Source organism: Homo sapiens, chromosome 9 (assembly GCF_000001405.40).
Source record: "Homo sapiens chromosome 9, GRCh38.p14 Primary Assembly".
Classification (NCBI taxonomy): domain Eukaryota; kingdom Metazoa; phylum Chordata; class Mammalia; order Primates; family Hominidae; genus Homo; species Homo sapiens.
In genome coordinates this window covers 41,035,733-41,053,735 of record NC_000009.12, presented here as the reverse complement: position 1 = coordinate 41,053,735, position 18,003 = coordinate 41,035,733, and the positions used below count along the sequence as shown (strand labels likewise).

Below are 18,003 nucleotides of genomic sequence, written 5' to 3'. Positions count from 1 at the left end.
TATGTGGTTCAGTATATGCCTTAATAATCACGATTTCCTTCCTCTTATATTATTATAGTCTCACAGTGACCCTTTGATGATAGACAAGCAAGGTGCAGAGGACCTAGCTCAGAAAAATTTAGTGAGGTGCCCAAAGTGATCCAACAAAGAAGTGGCATGATGGGCTCATGAACCCATTTGGGTGGTCTCTTGGTCCCCTGTACTCTTCAGCATAAACTATTGAATAGTTGATGCTTATCTGATATGGAAGGACTCTGAATTTTAACATTAAAACATACCCTGAAGGTCGTTGTCTAAATGACAATGACCCTCATTTTACACATGAACAAATCAAAGGCCTGAGAGGCTGAGTTACTGCTGAAGGCCACAGGGTTGATCAGGGTCAGATTAATGATTTTTAGCCCAAATCCTGGGCTCTCTTTTTCCTACAGTGTTGACTTTCTCTCAAAATCATAGAATTGTTTCACTTTTTCTTATATTCACAGCAATTTATAGTTTGGGGGTCCTTAGTGGAGGGGGTGGCATATATGTATGGAGTAAATTTCTTTTAAAAATTGAACACACAAAAAAATAGGGAGAATAAGAAATAGATAACATGTACCCATTATCTTGTTTTTCTATTTTGCTTATCTTTTTTTTCTGAAGAATTTTAAAGCAAATTATAGCACAAGAACATTTCACACCCAAATATTTTTGTATGCATCTCTTAAAAAGAAAGACACATTGCTGCATGACCGTGCTAACATACCTAACAATAATAACATTAATTCTCCAATATCACCTGAAAACTAATCTATAGTCAAATTTTTCAATAATCCCAAAAATATTATTATTTATAGCTGTTTTATTCAAATCAGGATACATCTAAGGATGCCATGCATTTGCCTGGCAAGTCTCTTAAATCTCTTTTAATCTAGAACACTGAGTTTGCATGAATGTGGGTAGGAGCCAAATTTTAACCAGCAACAGTTACCATTATAAATTATTCCTCATCCCAGGCAAAGCAGTGCATTCTGAAGGGAAAACTTATTATCTATCCCTCCTTGTAGACGTTTTACATGTTATCCAAACAAGAAAGTGTATTCATGTTGAATATTTAAAAAACAATATTGTAACCACAAAGCAGAAAACTAAACCACCAAACCACAAAGGTAGACAACAATAGAGGAAGAAGAGAACAAATTATCTACAAAGTAACCAGAAAACAATTAGCAAAATGGCAGGAGTAAGTCTTTTACTATCAATAATAACCTTGCTGGTACATGGGTTAAACTGTCCAATCAAAAGATATAGAATGGCTGAGTGGATCAACAACAAGATCCAACTAGATGCTGCCTACAAGAGACCCATTTTTAAACTTTAAGAATAGGCATATACTGAAAGTAAAGGGATAGAAGGAGATATTCCATGAAAACAGACAGTTACCAAAAGAGAGCAGGGATGCCTATACTTATATCAGATAAAACAGACTTCCAGTAAAAAGCTGTTCCAAGAGACAAAGAAGGTCATGATTTAATGATAAAGAGGTCATCTTATCAAGAGGACATAACAATTGTAAACATATATGCATCCAAAATTGAAGCACTTAAATATGTAAAGCAAATATTAGTGGACATGAAGGAAGAAATATACAGCAATATAACACTAATAGGGGACTTCAGTACTCCACTTGCAACAATGGAGAAATCAACCAGACAAAAAATTAACAAGACAACACTAAATTTGAACTATACTTCAGACCAAATGGACCTACCAGACCTACATTCATCCAACAACAGCAGAATATACATTTTTCTCTAGCATACATAGAACATTCTCCAGGATAGACCATATGTTAGGCCACAAAATAAACCTTAACAAATTCAAAAAGATTGAAATCATGTCTAGTATTGTTTCCAACCACAATGGTGTGAAGCTAAAAATCAATAACAGGAGGAATCTTGGAAAATTTACAAATATGTGGAAATTAAAGAACATGCTTATGATGAACTAATGGGTCAAAGAAGAAATCAAGAGGGAAATTAAAAAATATTTTGAGATTAATGACAATGGAAACACAATGTATCAAAACCTACAGTATGCAGCAAAGTCAGTTCTAAGAGAGAAGTTTATAGCAATAAATGCCTAGATTAAAAAAGGAAAAAGATATAAATAAGTAGACTAACATTATGCCCCAAGGAGCTAAAGAACAAACTAAACCCAAAGTGAGCAAAAGGAAGGAAATAATGAAGATCAGAACAGAAGCAAATAAAATGTAGTATAGTAAAACTATAGAAAATATAAATAAAATCAAAAGTTGGTTCTTTGAAAAAATAAAATCTACAAACTCCTAGCTAGATTCACTAAAAAAAGCAGACTCAAATAAATAAAATCAGAAATGAAAGTGGAGACATTGCAATAGATACCTCAGAAATAAAAATGCTCATAAGGGATTATTATGAACAATTTTATGCCAACAAATTGGAGGACCTAGAAGAATTGGATAAATTTCTAGAAAAACTAACCCATCAAGATTGAATTGGGAAGAAACAAAAAGTTTGAACACTCCAACAACAAATAAAGAAATTGAAGAAGTGATTAAAAACTTTCCAAAATAGAAAAGCCTAGGACCAAATGGCTTCATGGCTGAATTTTATCAAACATTCAAAGAATAATTATTACCAACACTTCTTAGACTCTTCCAAAAATTAGAGCTACAGGGAATACTTCCAAACACATTTTGTGAGGCCAGCATCACCGTGATACCTAAAGCCAGACAAACATATTGTAAGAAAATAAAACCACAGGCCAATATCTCTGATAAATATTGACGAAAACCAAATTCAACAACACATTAAAGAAATTATGAATCATGGCCAAGTGGGATTTATCCCTGACATGCAAGACTGGCTAAACAGAATGAAAGATAAAAGCCACATGATCATCTCAATTGGTGCAGGAAAGGCATTTTACAAAGTTCAGCATTCTTTCTTAACAAAAACTCTTAACACTTTAGGTATAGAAGGAAAGTTTCTCAACATAATAAAGGTCGTTTATAAGAAACCCACAGCTAACATCATAATCCATTGGGGACAACTGAAAACTTTTCCACAATTTAGTACATGGCAGGGATGCTCACTCTTGCTATTTCTATTCAACATAGTTTTGGAAGTACTAGCAAGAGCAATCAGACAAGAAAAATAAATAAAAGTCATCCAAATTGGAAAGGAGAAAGTAAAATAATCTCTATTTACAGATGATATGATCCTATATATAGAAAATTCTAAAGATTCTACACATGCACACACACACACACACACACACACACAAACACACACACAAATTTTTAGAACTAATAAATGAATTCAATAAGTTGCAGGATACAAAATCAACATACAAACATCAGTAGCATTTCTATACATAAATAATGACCCAGCTGAAAATAATCAAGAAAACAATGCCATTTATGATAGCATCAAAAAAATACTTAGGAATAAATTTAACCAAGGGGTGAAAGTATACTGAAAACTATAAAACATTGATTGAATAAGACACAAATAAATAGATATCCTGTGCTCACTGATCATGGATCAAAAACATTAATATTATTAAAACATTCATACTACCAAAAACAATATACTGATTTAACACAACCCCTATCAAAATTTCAATAACATTCTTCATGGAAATAGAAAAGCAATACTAAAATTTGTATGGAGCCACAAAAAACCAAAGCAATGTTGAGGGGAAAAAAGTTGGAGGTACCACACTTGCTGATTTAAAATTATATTACAAAGCTAAAGTAAAACCAAAACAGTATGATACTGGCATAAAAACAGAAACGTAGACCAATGGAACAGAATAGAGAGCCCAGAAATAAATCAAGACATATATAGTCAACTAATTTTGGAGCAGGGCACCAAGAGGACATAATGGAGAAAGAAAAAAACCTCTTCAATAAATGGTGCCTGGGAAAACAAAAATGTAAAAGAATGAAATTGGACCCTTATCTTACACTATACACAGAAATAAACTCAAAATGAATAAAAGAACTAAACATAAGATCTGAAACCATAAAAATCCTAGAAAAGAACATAGGGAAAAAGTTATTTGACATTGGCCTTGGCAATGATTTCTTGGATATCACATCAAAAGCTCGGGCTACAAAAGCAAAAACAAATAAATGGGACTACCTCAAATTAAAAAGCTTTTTAGCTTTTCCATTTTTCATTTATTTATTTTATACACTTTAAAATCTCTGGGTATTCTTTTTTAGCATCTTAAAATTTATTTTTATATGAGTGCCTGTAGATTTGCCGTATCCTTTAAAAAACAATTATTTTAATATATATTATAATTGTACATATTTTCGGTGTGCATATGGTGAAAGTCATTGGAGTGGAAGATAGCAAGGAGCTTGGAAATTGAAAAGGAATTCAGAAGTTGTTGATGAACTCTGAAGTTATCAGCATGGATGGTTGAATGGCATCATAGACAACTATCTAGAGAGACAGTACTTGCTTTACTTTTGGAAATCAGTGTGCTGGCATTAAAACTCAGGGACTTGAAAATGATGGACACAGCCAAAGAATATAGTATGGTGCCTGGGGTGTAGGGAGTGGAGGGAGATATTCATGCATTCTGTAATCTGGCAAGCATAAAATAATGCAAAAATGAAACAAGACTACCTATTCTTTAAGTTTTGTGAAGGGTAAAAAATGGTAAGGAGTGAAGCAAAGGGCTATTTTTATTTCTTTGAGGTCTTCACTTTTCCCACACAACAAGAAAATTGTTGGTAAAATCTTCTGGGCTGTCTTCTCTCCCACTTACTAGAATAGGACTATTGCTATTCTTTTTTATGAGCATTTATTGGAATACAGTGATGGTGCTACACTCTAAGGCAGCATTGTCCAACAGAAAAATATTGTGAGTCACATACATACTTTACATTTTTAGTAGCCACATTAAAAAAGTGAAAAGAAACAAGTGAAATTCACATTGTGTTTTATTTAAACTACTATATCTAAAATATTATTATACCATGTCATCGATATAAAAATTATTAATGCAATCGATTGCATTTTCTACTAACTCTTCAAAATTTGGTGTGCATTTACAATTGCAGCACACCTCAACTTGACTAGCCACATTTTAAGTGCTCAACAGCTAAATGTGACTAGTAACAATTGTATTGGACAATGCAGTTCTAAGGATTGAGATATTTTAAAAATCAAGAAACAATTTTTGTTCAGTAGAAAGTTACAGTATAGTTGACAAGTAAGATTCATACAGAAAACTATCTATACATCTAGCAATCATTTATACTTTAGATCTTTCAATCTACTTATTTGTTTCTCAACCTTGTTGCAAAAAAAAAAAATCTGAAATGGCTTGCATTAAGATATACAAGGTAAAAAAAAAAAAAAAAAAAGCAAAACCCCAAAAGGTGAACAATTATTGATTTCATGTTCAATTTATTTAAAGTCTAATACTACTTGTCAATTTGGCCTTCCGAGGAAATGCATCATATATTTTTAGTTGAGCTTCATTTTAGAAGTGATTAGAGATTGTGAGTTGGGGAAAATAATTAACTTACCCTGCTAAGCTCACACATCAATTAGGTAGCAGAGCTGGGAATAGAAAGCATAGTTTCCTCTTCTAGATGCACTGGGGAAGCTGCATGGAAATCTGGAATCCCTCACTTCTGTCAAATGCATATCCTGTTTGTGTCTCATAACCTGAATAAAGCTGATTACATAACCAGGTTTCCCTGGCAGGTGTGAAACTATTTTTAGGAAAGATGTGTCATTGCTTAGAAGTGGATTAAAACAAACAAACAAACATATGGGTTGTTAGTCTACATAGAACAGGTGAGGCTGATCAAATTTCCCCCATAGTGGATGAGTACAGTATAAGAAATATCAAGGCTAATTGAACTGTGAACCATTGATCATTGTTTAGAGAACAAATGAATCTTTCTCTGCCTGGTGGAGGAGGATGGTAACATTTCACTGCTTGAAACTCACGAGACTTTTAAAAACATGTATTTTTGGTGTTCAAATTTTAGGTCCTGCACCCGATGTTGTCTCAGACAAAATCTACCAAATCAGCAAAACGATTGAGGAATATGCTATATGTCCTGATCTCCAAATCGACCTATCTCGACTAGGAAGACAAGAATTTGACCTAGAGAACAAATTCAAACCATTCAGAGGTAACAGAGATTTTATTTTGAAGAAGTCAGAGTAACTATGTGGATGGGGCTGACTGGTTTCTGTAGGGAAGTAAACTCATGAAAATTATTGCATTGTTAATCTCAGGGGTGACTCGATAAATGTGTGTAAACTTAATATGGTGTAGAGAGAAGACATGAGAGCAGCCAAGATATTCAGAACTGGAAACTTTCAAAAACCACTTCCCAAACTCGATATCATTTTCAACATAGGAAAAGTTTTATGGTTGACTTCATTATAGCATTCCAAAAATAGGCTGTGAATTGCCAAAACTTGTCTAAGCAATTAAGGTGAAGATGCTGGAATGCCTTAGTTAAGAAGAAACCTAACAAGTCAATGGGTTATTAAATTTCTCATGAAAGGTAGGAGTTTCTTTTCCAAGCCATAACCAAGCTTGGAATAATTACGCATCAGCTTATTGAATGCATAATTATTGATCACTTGCCCTATACCAAGCACCGTGTTAGGAGATTTTACAAAGGAATTCAGTAACTACCAAATATATTTAGGCAAGTGATTCAAAAATTAAAGAACCAAAATGAGATTGTCAAAAATATTATCTTATATTGTAAAGCAAATATAACTTCTACAGTATTCAGAAGATAGCTTTTTGTTTTATAGATTAATTTTAGACCATATGACAACAACATTAATAACATGTATGTATACAACATTTTCCCCCTATATTTTATCATATTGCTTTTTCCTAGAAGGCATAGAATAGCAATAGATCTAATATGTTTTACTTTTTTAGTGCTTCTATAAGCTTGAATGCAGTTTGTGTTAAGATGGTATCCTCATTTTATAAGTAATTTAACTTAGCCCAAAAGAGGAAATACCTGGTTTGTGTCCATGTGATATTTTAGGGATAGAGAAAAGATTAAAATGGATTGTGTGGGGGTCACAGTATTTGCCCAGTGTTACCAAATCTTTCTTGAGAAGTTTTGAGTCAGTTGTTTGCTTAGGTAATGAGCAGAAATTTACAGAGAGCCATGATACTCACTGGAAGCAACAGGGCCTGCTTTTGCTAATCTAGCTGGGAGAATGCATAGGCATATGTGTGCACACGCATGGGATGGCTGGACAATTAAAGGCAAGGGGTACATTATATTAAGCAAAATGATTTCAATACGCTGATTACATATGGTTGGAAGGACTAGGCTTATTTTTGGCATCTTCACAATTTTTATAGTTGTCCAAGAGACCCGAATCTTCGTGGGCTCTCATTCAGGCTCATTGCTGCAGCCACATTGCTAGTTGAATGAGTTTTCTAAAAATGTTACTGATACCAGGAGATAGGTAGAGGGATTCCCTGGCTTCCAAGAATTTGGAGATAATCGTTTGGGATAATTTATGTGCTGTATTCTTGCTGGTTCAAGTGTTGAGCAAAGCTTGAGTTAATTAGGAACAAATAATTCCTTTGCATTTCACTTTAAAGTGTCAAGAGCATGAACTATATGATGTGAACTTTCAATTTTTACTGACTTCTTGTTCCCTCGTTTTTCACATTTGTTTGGTACTGTGTGTTACCTATTGTAAATACCAAATGTATTTAGGCAAGTGGTTCAAGAATTGAAGAGCCAGAATGAAATTGTCAAAAACATTATCCTATAATGTAGAGTGAGTAAAACTTCCAAAGTACTCAGGGCATAACCTTTTGTCTTACAGATTAATTTTTTTATGGCAGTAAAATATACATAACAAAATTTACCATTTTAACCACTGTCAGGTGTACACTTTATACAGGTTAATTTTTAATTACTTCGTAGATTATTATGCTCCTCATGTAAAAAGATAATTTAAAAGTATCCATGTTACAAATATAACTATATTTGAATGAACACATAGATTACATTGACTTAAGTGTAAGAAAAAATATTTTTAGATATGTATTTGATCAGATGAAGGGATAATATATGGCATATTAAGATCTCATCCATTAAATATCACACCTGGATTTACTAAAAATTATTGAAAGTGGGTTGGTAATATCTTCAGTGCAAGTTTAAAAGTATTTCAGGGTTTCAAAGTAGTATGTATTTGAAAAATCTGAAAACAATATACATAAGTTTCAAAATTTAGCTAAGAATTTAAAAAAGCAGGGCTCCTGGACAAATTTTAGCACCTAAAGAATTGATTTACTACTTCTTGGAAAAGTACTTTCCGAGCATTAATTATACACTGATTGACAAGTATGAAAAATGTATTCTGAGCTTTTTGGTATGTCACATAAATGAATAAAACTTTTTGGATTCTTGGTTACTGGGTGGTGCTAGATACTGGAAAGCATTTGTGTTTAATGAGAACTTCTAGATATTTGCCATTCACTTGGAAATTGGGTGCTAGATTGGGCATGAATGAGATTTCACGCAAACCCAGGAATATATTCATCACCAATTCTGCACTCGAATCTGGTAGGCACAATGGCATTTGGAAAACAGGGGTCACTACTGAGGTCACTTGCTGATTTGTTTCATACCAGCTGAGTCAGTCTTTGGCCAGCCCCCACAAGAAAGGCAACTGGATATGCCAAAATGCCTCTAAACATTGAGATGTGTGCTGTGTGCATTTTTTTGGGAGGGGAAGTGGGAGCAGGAGTAACAGGGCACATTTTAATCTTAATTTATTCTTGTGGTTGATATTTTCCTTGCAAAGAATAATTTATAACTTGGTATCATTTGTACCCATTGAGCACCTGAAAAGCTTGTAGTATCTTGATTGTGCCCTGATTTGTGATTTTTGTCAACAAATGGGCACTTCGCTTCCCACGTCATGTGTAGGGATATGATGGGCTTGTGACCAGAATTTCATGCTGTTAAGGTAGTGATTCTTTTTATGCTTCCAAGTATCTTTCATGGGTACAGTCAATGACATTTTCCTTTGTTTTTCTATCTTTAGTGGAGATAGTGGACCCAGTGGATATCTATCTTAACCTCCTTCAGACCATCTTTGACTTTCATGCCATCAAGAGTTTGCTGACTGGGCCCAGCCAACTGAAGATTCGCGTTGATGCAATGCATGGAGGTAAGCTTGTGATTTTCTCCAAATCAGTGGGCAGGAAATATTGAGACCTCTACACCTGTTGGGTTTCAGAGGTTAAGAGGAAAGTTGGATTCATAGATATTCACACAACATGTGTATGTTCAGATATTTGGAATGCTCTGGAAAACTTCAGGACCCTTATTTCTGTCTTTGGATGTAAATGAAAACAAAAGTTGAACAAATGAGTTTGAGGCTATGCATGTTCAAGTGTGGAGTATAGTAAAACTGTTATTTATTTGATCATATGCATGGCATAGTTTAAACAGTCAAATAAATAGTTCAAGATTTATTGTGAAAAAAATCTGTACCCAACTCCTATCTTCCCCCAATTTGTTACCTTCCAGAGTTAAATTTTTCAATTTTTTCAGCTGTTTCTTTTTGTATTTATCTCCCTATCATTAAATATTATGAATATACAGACCCTTGTTGATTTTTCAGTTTTGAGCATTACTGAATTCATACTACAGGAACTGGAGCTGCAGCTCTTTTTCACCCTCTCCACCCACCACCCACCTCTCCACCCACCCTTTCCACCCACCAGTTAGGGAATCCTAGCATGCTTCCCTAATTATATCACCAGTTTGGTAAGATCATTATCTAGTGTTTACATTACCACAACACTGCTGAGCCATGCAATATGCTATAATTATATTTCCTTTACAGTACAACTTTTTGATTTCCTTGGAAACAGCAATTATCTTGTTTTCTCATTGCTTGCTTTTAATCAAGTATGTTTACCACTCTTAATCCTCAAGCTCTCCGCTAGTGTCTAAATCTTCCTTCACTTCATTTTCCTGGAGACTTTGATCTGCCCCACTCTGCCCTGGTTGCTCTCTGAGCATGCTGTCATCATGAAATCTCCCTTTATCACCATGGTAGTAATTCTTTTTACACATCTCTTATGTTAAATGTCCTGTCCCCTGGTTTCTTTGTCTGACACCTTGATTTACTGGTACATTTTGGAGGAACACATTCTCCAGGAACTCAGTGAGAGAAAGCTCATGGTAGGTAAATATTTTGTGTATTGTATATCTGAAAAGGCCTTTTATTCTACACTTGCCCTTGATTAATATTTGACTGATATGGAAATCTATGTTGGATATTATTTTTCTTCAGAAGTTTGAGGGCATTGCTCTACTGTGTTTTAGCTATTATATTAAACTTGAGAAATCCAGTGCTATTTTGATTTTTAATCCATTGTCTTTCCTTTTTCTTCTCTGGAAGCTTTTAGGACCTTTGACTTATCTTCAGTGTTCCTCTGTTTTACAATAATGGATCTTAGTGTGGGACTCTATCTTTATTATATCGGACACCTGATGGACCCTTTCAGTCTGAACACTTGTGTCCTTTAATTCTGGAAAAGTTTTTGAATTACTATTTAGTAACCATTCTGGTTATTTTTACTACTGAATTGATCCTTTAATTATTCTATTTCCCCTTCTCCTCCCCAGTTTTTCATCTCTTTATTTTGTTCTACTTTCTGGGAAATTTCCTTGACTTTATCTTCCAGTCCTTTAGTTCTACCATTATATTTTTAATTTCCCAAAACTTTTGTTTGTATTTTCCAAAGATTCTCTCTTGTAAAAATACATCCTAGTTATGTTTCATGGATACCGTATCTTTTTAAACTTAGGTTTACTGAGGTATAATTTATACACAATAAAACTCACTCCTAGTAGATATACAGTTTGATAAGATTTGACGAATATATACAGCCATGTAACCACTATCACAATCAAGATTGAATATTTCCATCACCTCAAAGAGTTTTTTGCAGCCCTTTGTAGTCAAACCTCTCCCCTTATCCCCAGCCCCTGGCAACCACTCATCTGCTTTCTGCTCCCATAGTTTTGCATTTTCCAGAAAGTTATATAAATGGAAGCATACAATATGTCACCTTTTGCTTCAAGCTTCTTTCACTCAGCATAATAATTTTGATATACATTCTTGGTGTTGCATGTATCAGTAGTTCAGTAGTTGTTCCTTTTACTGCTGAGTACAATTTTATTGTGTTGTCGATATACCACCATTTGTTTATCTATTCACTGGTTAATGAAAATTAGATTTTTCTTCTAGTTGTTGGCTATTGTAAAGAAAGATACTGTGAACATTCGTGAACAAGTCTGTACGTTTTCATTTGTCTTGGGTAAACAGCTAGGAATGGGATTGCTGAGTCATATGATACGTGTATGTTTACCTTTATAAGAAATGGCCAAATCATTTTCCAAAATGCCTGTTCCATTTGCACCACTGGCAATGCATGAGGGCTCCAGTTTATCTGTATCTTCACCAATACTTGGTACTGTCAGTCTTTTCCATTTTAGCCATTCTACTCTATCTTGTTAATCTCTATTAGGATATTACTGATATATTTTAAAAAGTTTTCTTCTCCCTGTATAATTTTTGTTTCCTCCAGGTTTCTCTTTACTTTTTGTTTATTTTCACCTCATCTCAAATACATTCCTCAAAATTTTGGTGATCCTTGGCTTTCTGGCATATTTAAGAATGAGGCACTAAAAATCTGCTGGGAGCTCTGAGCCTGCTGTGGGTCTTCTCCATGGGCCTTACTCTAAGGGCTTCTGGCTAGGCTGTTCTGTTCTTTCTTGTTGGGCTGATCATATTCCTCAGGAAAAGAACTTTCAGGTTCTTGCCTTAGCATTATCTGGCCTACAGGGAAGACAGCTTTGCTTTTTTTCCAAATAGTATGAGCAATGATTCTGGGTTTCAGCCTCATTGCCTGGTTTATACTGTATGTCCATCTTTGAATCAATTGCTCTGGCTAGAAGATGGAGGACGCTGATTGCGCAGACCTAGGTCACCTCCTTAGCCTTGGGGAGGTGGGATTTAGCCATACCCAGACCCCATGAACTGAGATGGGGAAGGGAGTTTTTCTCCAATAGAAATCCCAAATGCTGTATCCAGAGGAAGAGGAAATGTGTGCTGGGCAGGCACAATCAAGAGATGTTCACTATTGGAGGATTGTGTGTTGTATTGGTGGAAAATAAGTGGAAAGCAATATCTTTCAGATATTTCAGCTAGGAGGATTACATGCTGTTCCACAAATGTGCCTTATGTTCTACCTCAGGCTCTGTTCCCTTGCTCATAATGTTCCTTCGATTTAGATGGGCTTCCCACTCCAAACCCAAACACTTGCCAACTTTATATTATTCTGTCAAGTTCCACCAGAAATGCTGCTTCTTCCTTGAAGCCTTATGTGTGGTTATTGCTTCTCTGAAGCCATTGGATATAATTATTTCATCAATGTGCATTGTTTAGTCTTACCACTGCAGTCATTCATTTGCAGCTTTGACTCATCCCACTACTAGATTACAAGCCCAGGAATGTAGAAACTATGTGCTTTGCATCCCTTCAATATGATCCCTTCATTTCCTAGCAGAGCAGCTCCATATTGCATACTCCATAATGTTCATTGAACTGGAAAATACTATTCCTTGGCATGTATTTTGGTAAAATGTGCTTGTTTTTATATGCTTCAGTGGTTTATAGTGTTTAATTATATACTTGGCAAAGTCCAAATGATTGCAGAAACAAAGAACATTGCTAGAGCCCTTTAATGCTTTTGCATATATTCAGCTAAAGCTTTTAATACATGAAAAGCAACAGGCAATGAATCATTATTATGTAGCTGATTTCTTTCTGGCAAACTTTTAGAAAAATTTCAGGTGAAAAAATGTATGTAACTAGATGATTGAATACATCTTCTGTATTCCTACCACAGTAACTGGCACATAGTAGATGCTCAATAAATAGTAGTTCAAGCAAATATTGTTCTATATTGTATCTTTAAAACGATTGTAAATTTATATTTTTCTTCTGGGTTATTAAATGGTGTTTCCTGTACTATTCAGAACAAAATACTCTGGGGAGAAGGTTCTGCAAATATTTAATATTGCTGTGTATCTATTTTTAGTTATGGAACCTTATGTGAGAAAAGTTCTGTGTGATGAGCTGGGGGCCCCAGCCAATTCTGCAATAAACTGTGTTCCCCTGGAAGACTTTGGAGGGCAGCACCCTGACCCAAACCTGACATATGCAATGACTCTTCTGGAAGCAATGAAAGGAGGAGAATATGGATTTGGAGCTGCATTTGATGCTGATGGGGTAAGTAGGAAAGCTCTCTGTCTGCTGACCCTTTGATCATATAATGAGCCATGCACTGGAAAGCAGAGAATTAATGAACACATCTGGAGCTAACATGTATGGGGCATGTGTGCCCTAACTGGCTCTGCATCTGCCCTTCTGTTTAATGACTAAGTATTGCAATTAAATAGCGATTACTTTTCTTAGTTCCAGATTTACATTATGGCATACAAAGGTTGTTTATTTAAAAATATATATTATTCAATAAATCTTTATTTATGGCTGGTGTTGTTGAAAGCACCAAGTTAAGAAATCAGCTATTTCTGCAAGAAGCAGTGTTCTCCATTATGTTTGGGAGAAAGAAAGAATTAGGTATTTGGGGGCTTCTAAAGCTTGAGCCACATTTCAACAGGTGGAACATATTCCTGGTGTGTCAAGAATCTGGGCCCTTGGTACTCAGAGATTTTGAAGAATGTTTCCCATGTTCTCTTTGGCCTCATTCAAGTTGTTAGATTGTTAAATATAAGATGGCAGTAAAGTGGATTGTGATGATTATGGGAATGGGCTGCTAGCAGATGCTTCTGTCCGATCATTTTTACGCATTCCTTCCTACAGGACCGTTATATGATCCTAGGCCAAAATGGCTTCTTTGTGAGCCCTTCTGACTCCCTGGCCATCATTGCTGCCAACCTCTCTTGCATTCCATATTTCCATCAGATGGGGGTCCGCGGGTTTGGGAGGAGTATGCCAACCAGCATGGCCCTGGACAGGTAAGCAAGGATGTCACCGTGAAAAACTTTATGGTAGACCTTTGGCGTCGATGTCTCCTTTGTTGGTTGCTGGCGCTTATTCTCCCCTGCTCCATTTGGGAATGTGTTGAAAACATGGGAACACGGTATAGTGTATTGGGTAGAAGCTGGAGAATCAGGTGGCCTGAGCTTAATTCTTGGCTCTGCCACTTACTAGCTGTGGGAATTTAGATTTATTTAGTCTCTGTGCCTCAGTTTTCTTATCTGTAAAATGTGGATAATAATAGTGGTATCTTTATATGGATTGTCATGAAGTACAAATGAGGTGCTTCATGTAGAACATTTAACATGGTGCCTGGTACATAGTAAATACTACATAAATGTTTAGCAACAGAACTTATTAACCTGAAAGTATGTATGTATAAGTGAGGGAAAAAAAGCATGGGTTTTGAGGTCAGATTATATTATGTTCAAATGCTAACTTATAGCCTTATTAGCGCTGTACAAATAGAAAAATGATACTTCATAGGTTTATTGTAAGAATGAAACGAGACAGTGCATGGAAAATACCCAACAAGAGATTCACTCAGTAGGGCTCTAACTAACCCTATTAGGTTTCATTCTTCTTGCTCTATCCATCCCTCTTGTCTATCACCCTATATTATAAAACATTGAATTTCAGAGTCTGACATTTTCAACCAGCACGTGTTATTATAGAAACAGTGTATGTGCCTGGTGGAAAGTTAGAAAACACAAATAAGAGAATGTAAACATCTTATCCCCTACCTTGGGTTACCTATGTTAATAGAAAAACTTATATTCCTTACTGTATCTCTTTCTATACATATACGTTATACACATATAATTAAAATACATAATATAATATACATAATATATATACATATATAATTTATTTGCCTGTGATAATACCAAAGACATCAAAAAGTACATTGCTTGTAACCTGCTTTTTCTTTTCCATCAACAATTGCCAACTACCAATTAATAAATTTTGGCCGGTCGTGGCGACTCACACCTGTAATCCTAGAGCTTTGAGTGGCTGAGGTGGGAGGATCACTTGAGGCCAGGAATTCAAGACCAGCCTGGGCAATAGAGCAAAACCCTGTCTCTACAAAAAATTTTCTTTAATCAATCAGGTGTAGTGGCATGTTCCTGTAGTCCCACACCAAATGTTGATTAGGATAGGAAGCAACCAGAACTTTCATACATTGCAAACAAAAGTGTAGAATGGAAGACAGTTTGGCAGTTTCTTGTAAAATGGAGCCTACAGCTGACCAACATTCCATTCCTAAATATTTACCCAAAAATAATGGAGATGTGTCCACAAAAGACCTGTATAATAATATACATAGTTGCATGATTCATAATAGCTAATAACTGGAAACAATACAAATGTCCATCAACAGGAGATTGCAAAAATAGTGATATATTTATATATTCGTATACTACACAATAACAAGAAGGAATGAAATACTGACACATGCAGTGGGTGTGGATGAATAAAAAAAAATTAAATGATAAAAAGCCAGTAACAAACAAATACATAATATATAATTCCATTTCTGTGAAGTTTCAGAACAGGTAAACATATATGTGGCAATAGAAATTATTACAATGTTACTGTATGAGGGGTAGGAAGAAGGCACCGGGAAACATTCTGAGGTGACGGGAATGTTCTGTGTCTTAATCTGGGTGGTGGTTACATGGATGTGCACACTTTTCAAAACTCATTGAATTGTACCCATAAAATGCATTTCACTGTATATAAATTTTACCTTATGAATGAATCAACACCATGAAAAAATAGCCACAAAATCCAGAAGATGAGATTCTATGGGACAAATTAGCTAGGTATGATGACGCATGCCTGTAATCCCAGCTACTTGGGAGGCTGAGGCAGGAAAATCGCTTGAACCCAGGAGACAGAGGTTGCAGTGAGCCGATACCATGCCATTGCACTCCAGCCTGGGCAACAAGAGAACAAGAGTGAAACTCTGTCTCAACAACAACAACAACAAAAAAATACTGAAGGGCCATAACACGTGGTTCTAAATGAGATACTACATTGGGCAAACCATTCAAAAAAGACATTCTGGAGACACTGAGGGAAAATTTCAGTATGATCTTAGTTTCAGATGACATAAAAATTATTTATTTGTTTATTTTAGAGAAAGGGTCTCACTCTGTTGCCCAGGCTGGAGTGCAGTGGTACGATCATAGTTCACTGTAACCTTCAACTGCTGGGCTCAAGCAATCCTCCCAACTCAGCCTCCTGAGTAGCTAGGACTACACATGCGCCATCATACCCAGTTAATTTTAAAAACATTTTTTGTAGAAATGAGATCTTGCTATGTTGCCTAGGCTGGTCTCAAACTCCTGGCCTCAAGTGATCCCCCTGCTTCAGCCTCCCAAAGTGCTGGGATTATGGGCATGAGCCACTGAACCTGGCTACTTTTAATCTTATTAGTATCTTTTGATGAGCAGAAGTTTTAAATTTTGATGAAGTCTAGTTTATTTTTCTTATAATTAATGGATTATATGATTATTATATATGTCTTTGTCAACTACAAGAAATTTTTGCTTCCTCCAAGGTCAGAGAGATATTTTCTCTATATTTTCTTCTAGAGTCATTGCAGTTTCAACTTTTACATTTATGTCTAGAATGATTTTGAATTAATTTTTGAGCACGGTATAAGGTAGGGGTCGAGGTTCACTTATTTCCCTTATCCAGTTTTTCCAATCCCATTTTTAAAAAAGAATTTTCTTTCCCCTGAATAGCCTTGGCACCATTATTAAAAATCTGTTGGCCATATATATGTAGATCTATTTCAGGATTCTCTATTCTATACCACTGATCCATTTGTTGATTCGTATGTAAATATTACACTGAAATTAGGTGAGCTTCCCAACATGTTTTTCTTCTTTGTCAAATTAAAGGGAAATTATATATTCTAGGTCCTCTGCATTTTATTTCATTTTAGAACCAACATCTCAATTTCTACCAAAGCCTACTGGGATTTTGATTGGGATTATGTTGAATCTATAGAGCCATTTGGGGAGAATAGTATTTTAATAATCTTGAATCTTCCAATCCATGAATGTGGTATATCTCTCTATTTAGGTTTTCTTTAATTTCTCTTACATGTATTTCATAATTTTTAATGTAGAGATCTTATACAATTTTTGTCAAATTTATTTCTGAGTATTTTCTTTTTTTTGACGCTATTATAAATGTTTTATGAATTTAATTTTCCAATTATTTGCTGCTGGTGCTTTTTTGTAAATTGACCTTGTATTCTTCACTAGAGGGGAGAAGAATCACCTACCTTTTGGATGCCTCCCACTCTACTTGTCTCCCTGAGGTGATATGGACCTTAAGTCCACGATGGTGACCTAAACTCAGTTTAAAATTCTTGCCTAGCAGCACCAAAGAGTGGTATGTGATTCCATGTTTTCTCCCATTTACCTTTGCCTACACCCTTCCTTTAAAAAAAAAAAAGACTCCGTAGAATTGTAGGGAACAAAGTAAAAATGGGACCATTTCTAGAAATTGAGAACTCAGAGTCATATAGAATCCTGAGTGATACGTAGGGTATTTAATAATATGGGAGTATATTTAACCCTTCCACTTATACAGAATCTTATAATTTAGAAATAATTTGTAACATATCAACTCACTTGATCTTTGCAATAATTTTATGAGGTAATTGAGATAGGCATTACTCTCCTCATATTAAAGATGTTGAACCAATGATCAGAGAGCTTAAGTGACTTGTACAAGGTCACACAGTGAATTAGAAGTTGACTCAGGATTTGAAACTAGGTCTTCTGATAATAGGGTACTACTGTATCTGCCCAATAACTATAATTGGATCAAAAGG

General features: G+C 35.2%; 2 pseudogenes across 2 annotated transcripts in view; one reads left to right on the top strand and one right to left on the bottom strand.

Moving 5' to 3' along the window:
• PGM5P2 (phosphoglucomutase 5 pseudogene 2) overlaps positions 1-18,003 on the top strand; it is a 67,615-nt pseudogene that overhangs the window by 20,890 nt on the left and 28,722 nt on the right. The window contains exons 3-6 of the transcript NR_002836.2: positions 6,047-6,193; positions 9,111-9,236; positions 13,186-13,376; positions 13,971-14,125. The product of NR_002836.2 is annotated as a phosphoglucomutase 5 pseudogene 2 (transcript). The remainder of the gene's footprint in view (positions 1-6,046; positions 6,194-9,110; positions 9,237-13,185; positions 13,377-13,970; positions 14,126-18,003) is intronic.
• Positions 14,633-18,003, bottom strand: part of FRG1HP (FSHD region gene 1 family member H, pseudogene) — a 46,843-nt pseudogene continuing 43,472 nt past the window's right edge. The window contains exon 7 of the transcript NR_156730.1: positions 14,633-16,087. The product of NR_156730.1 is annotated as an FSHD region gene 1 family member H, pseudogene, transcript variant 2 (transcript). The remainder of the gene's footprint in view (positions 16,088-18,003) is intronic.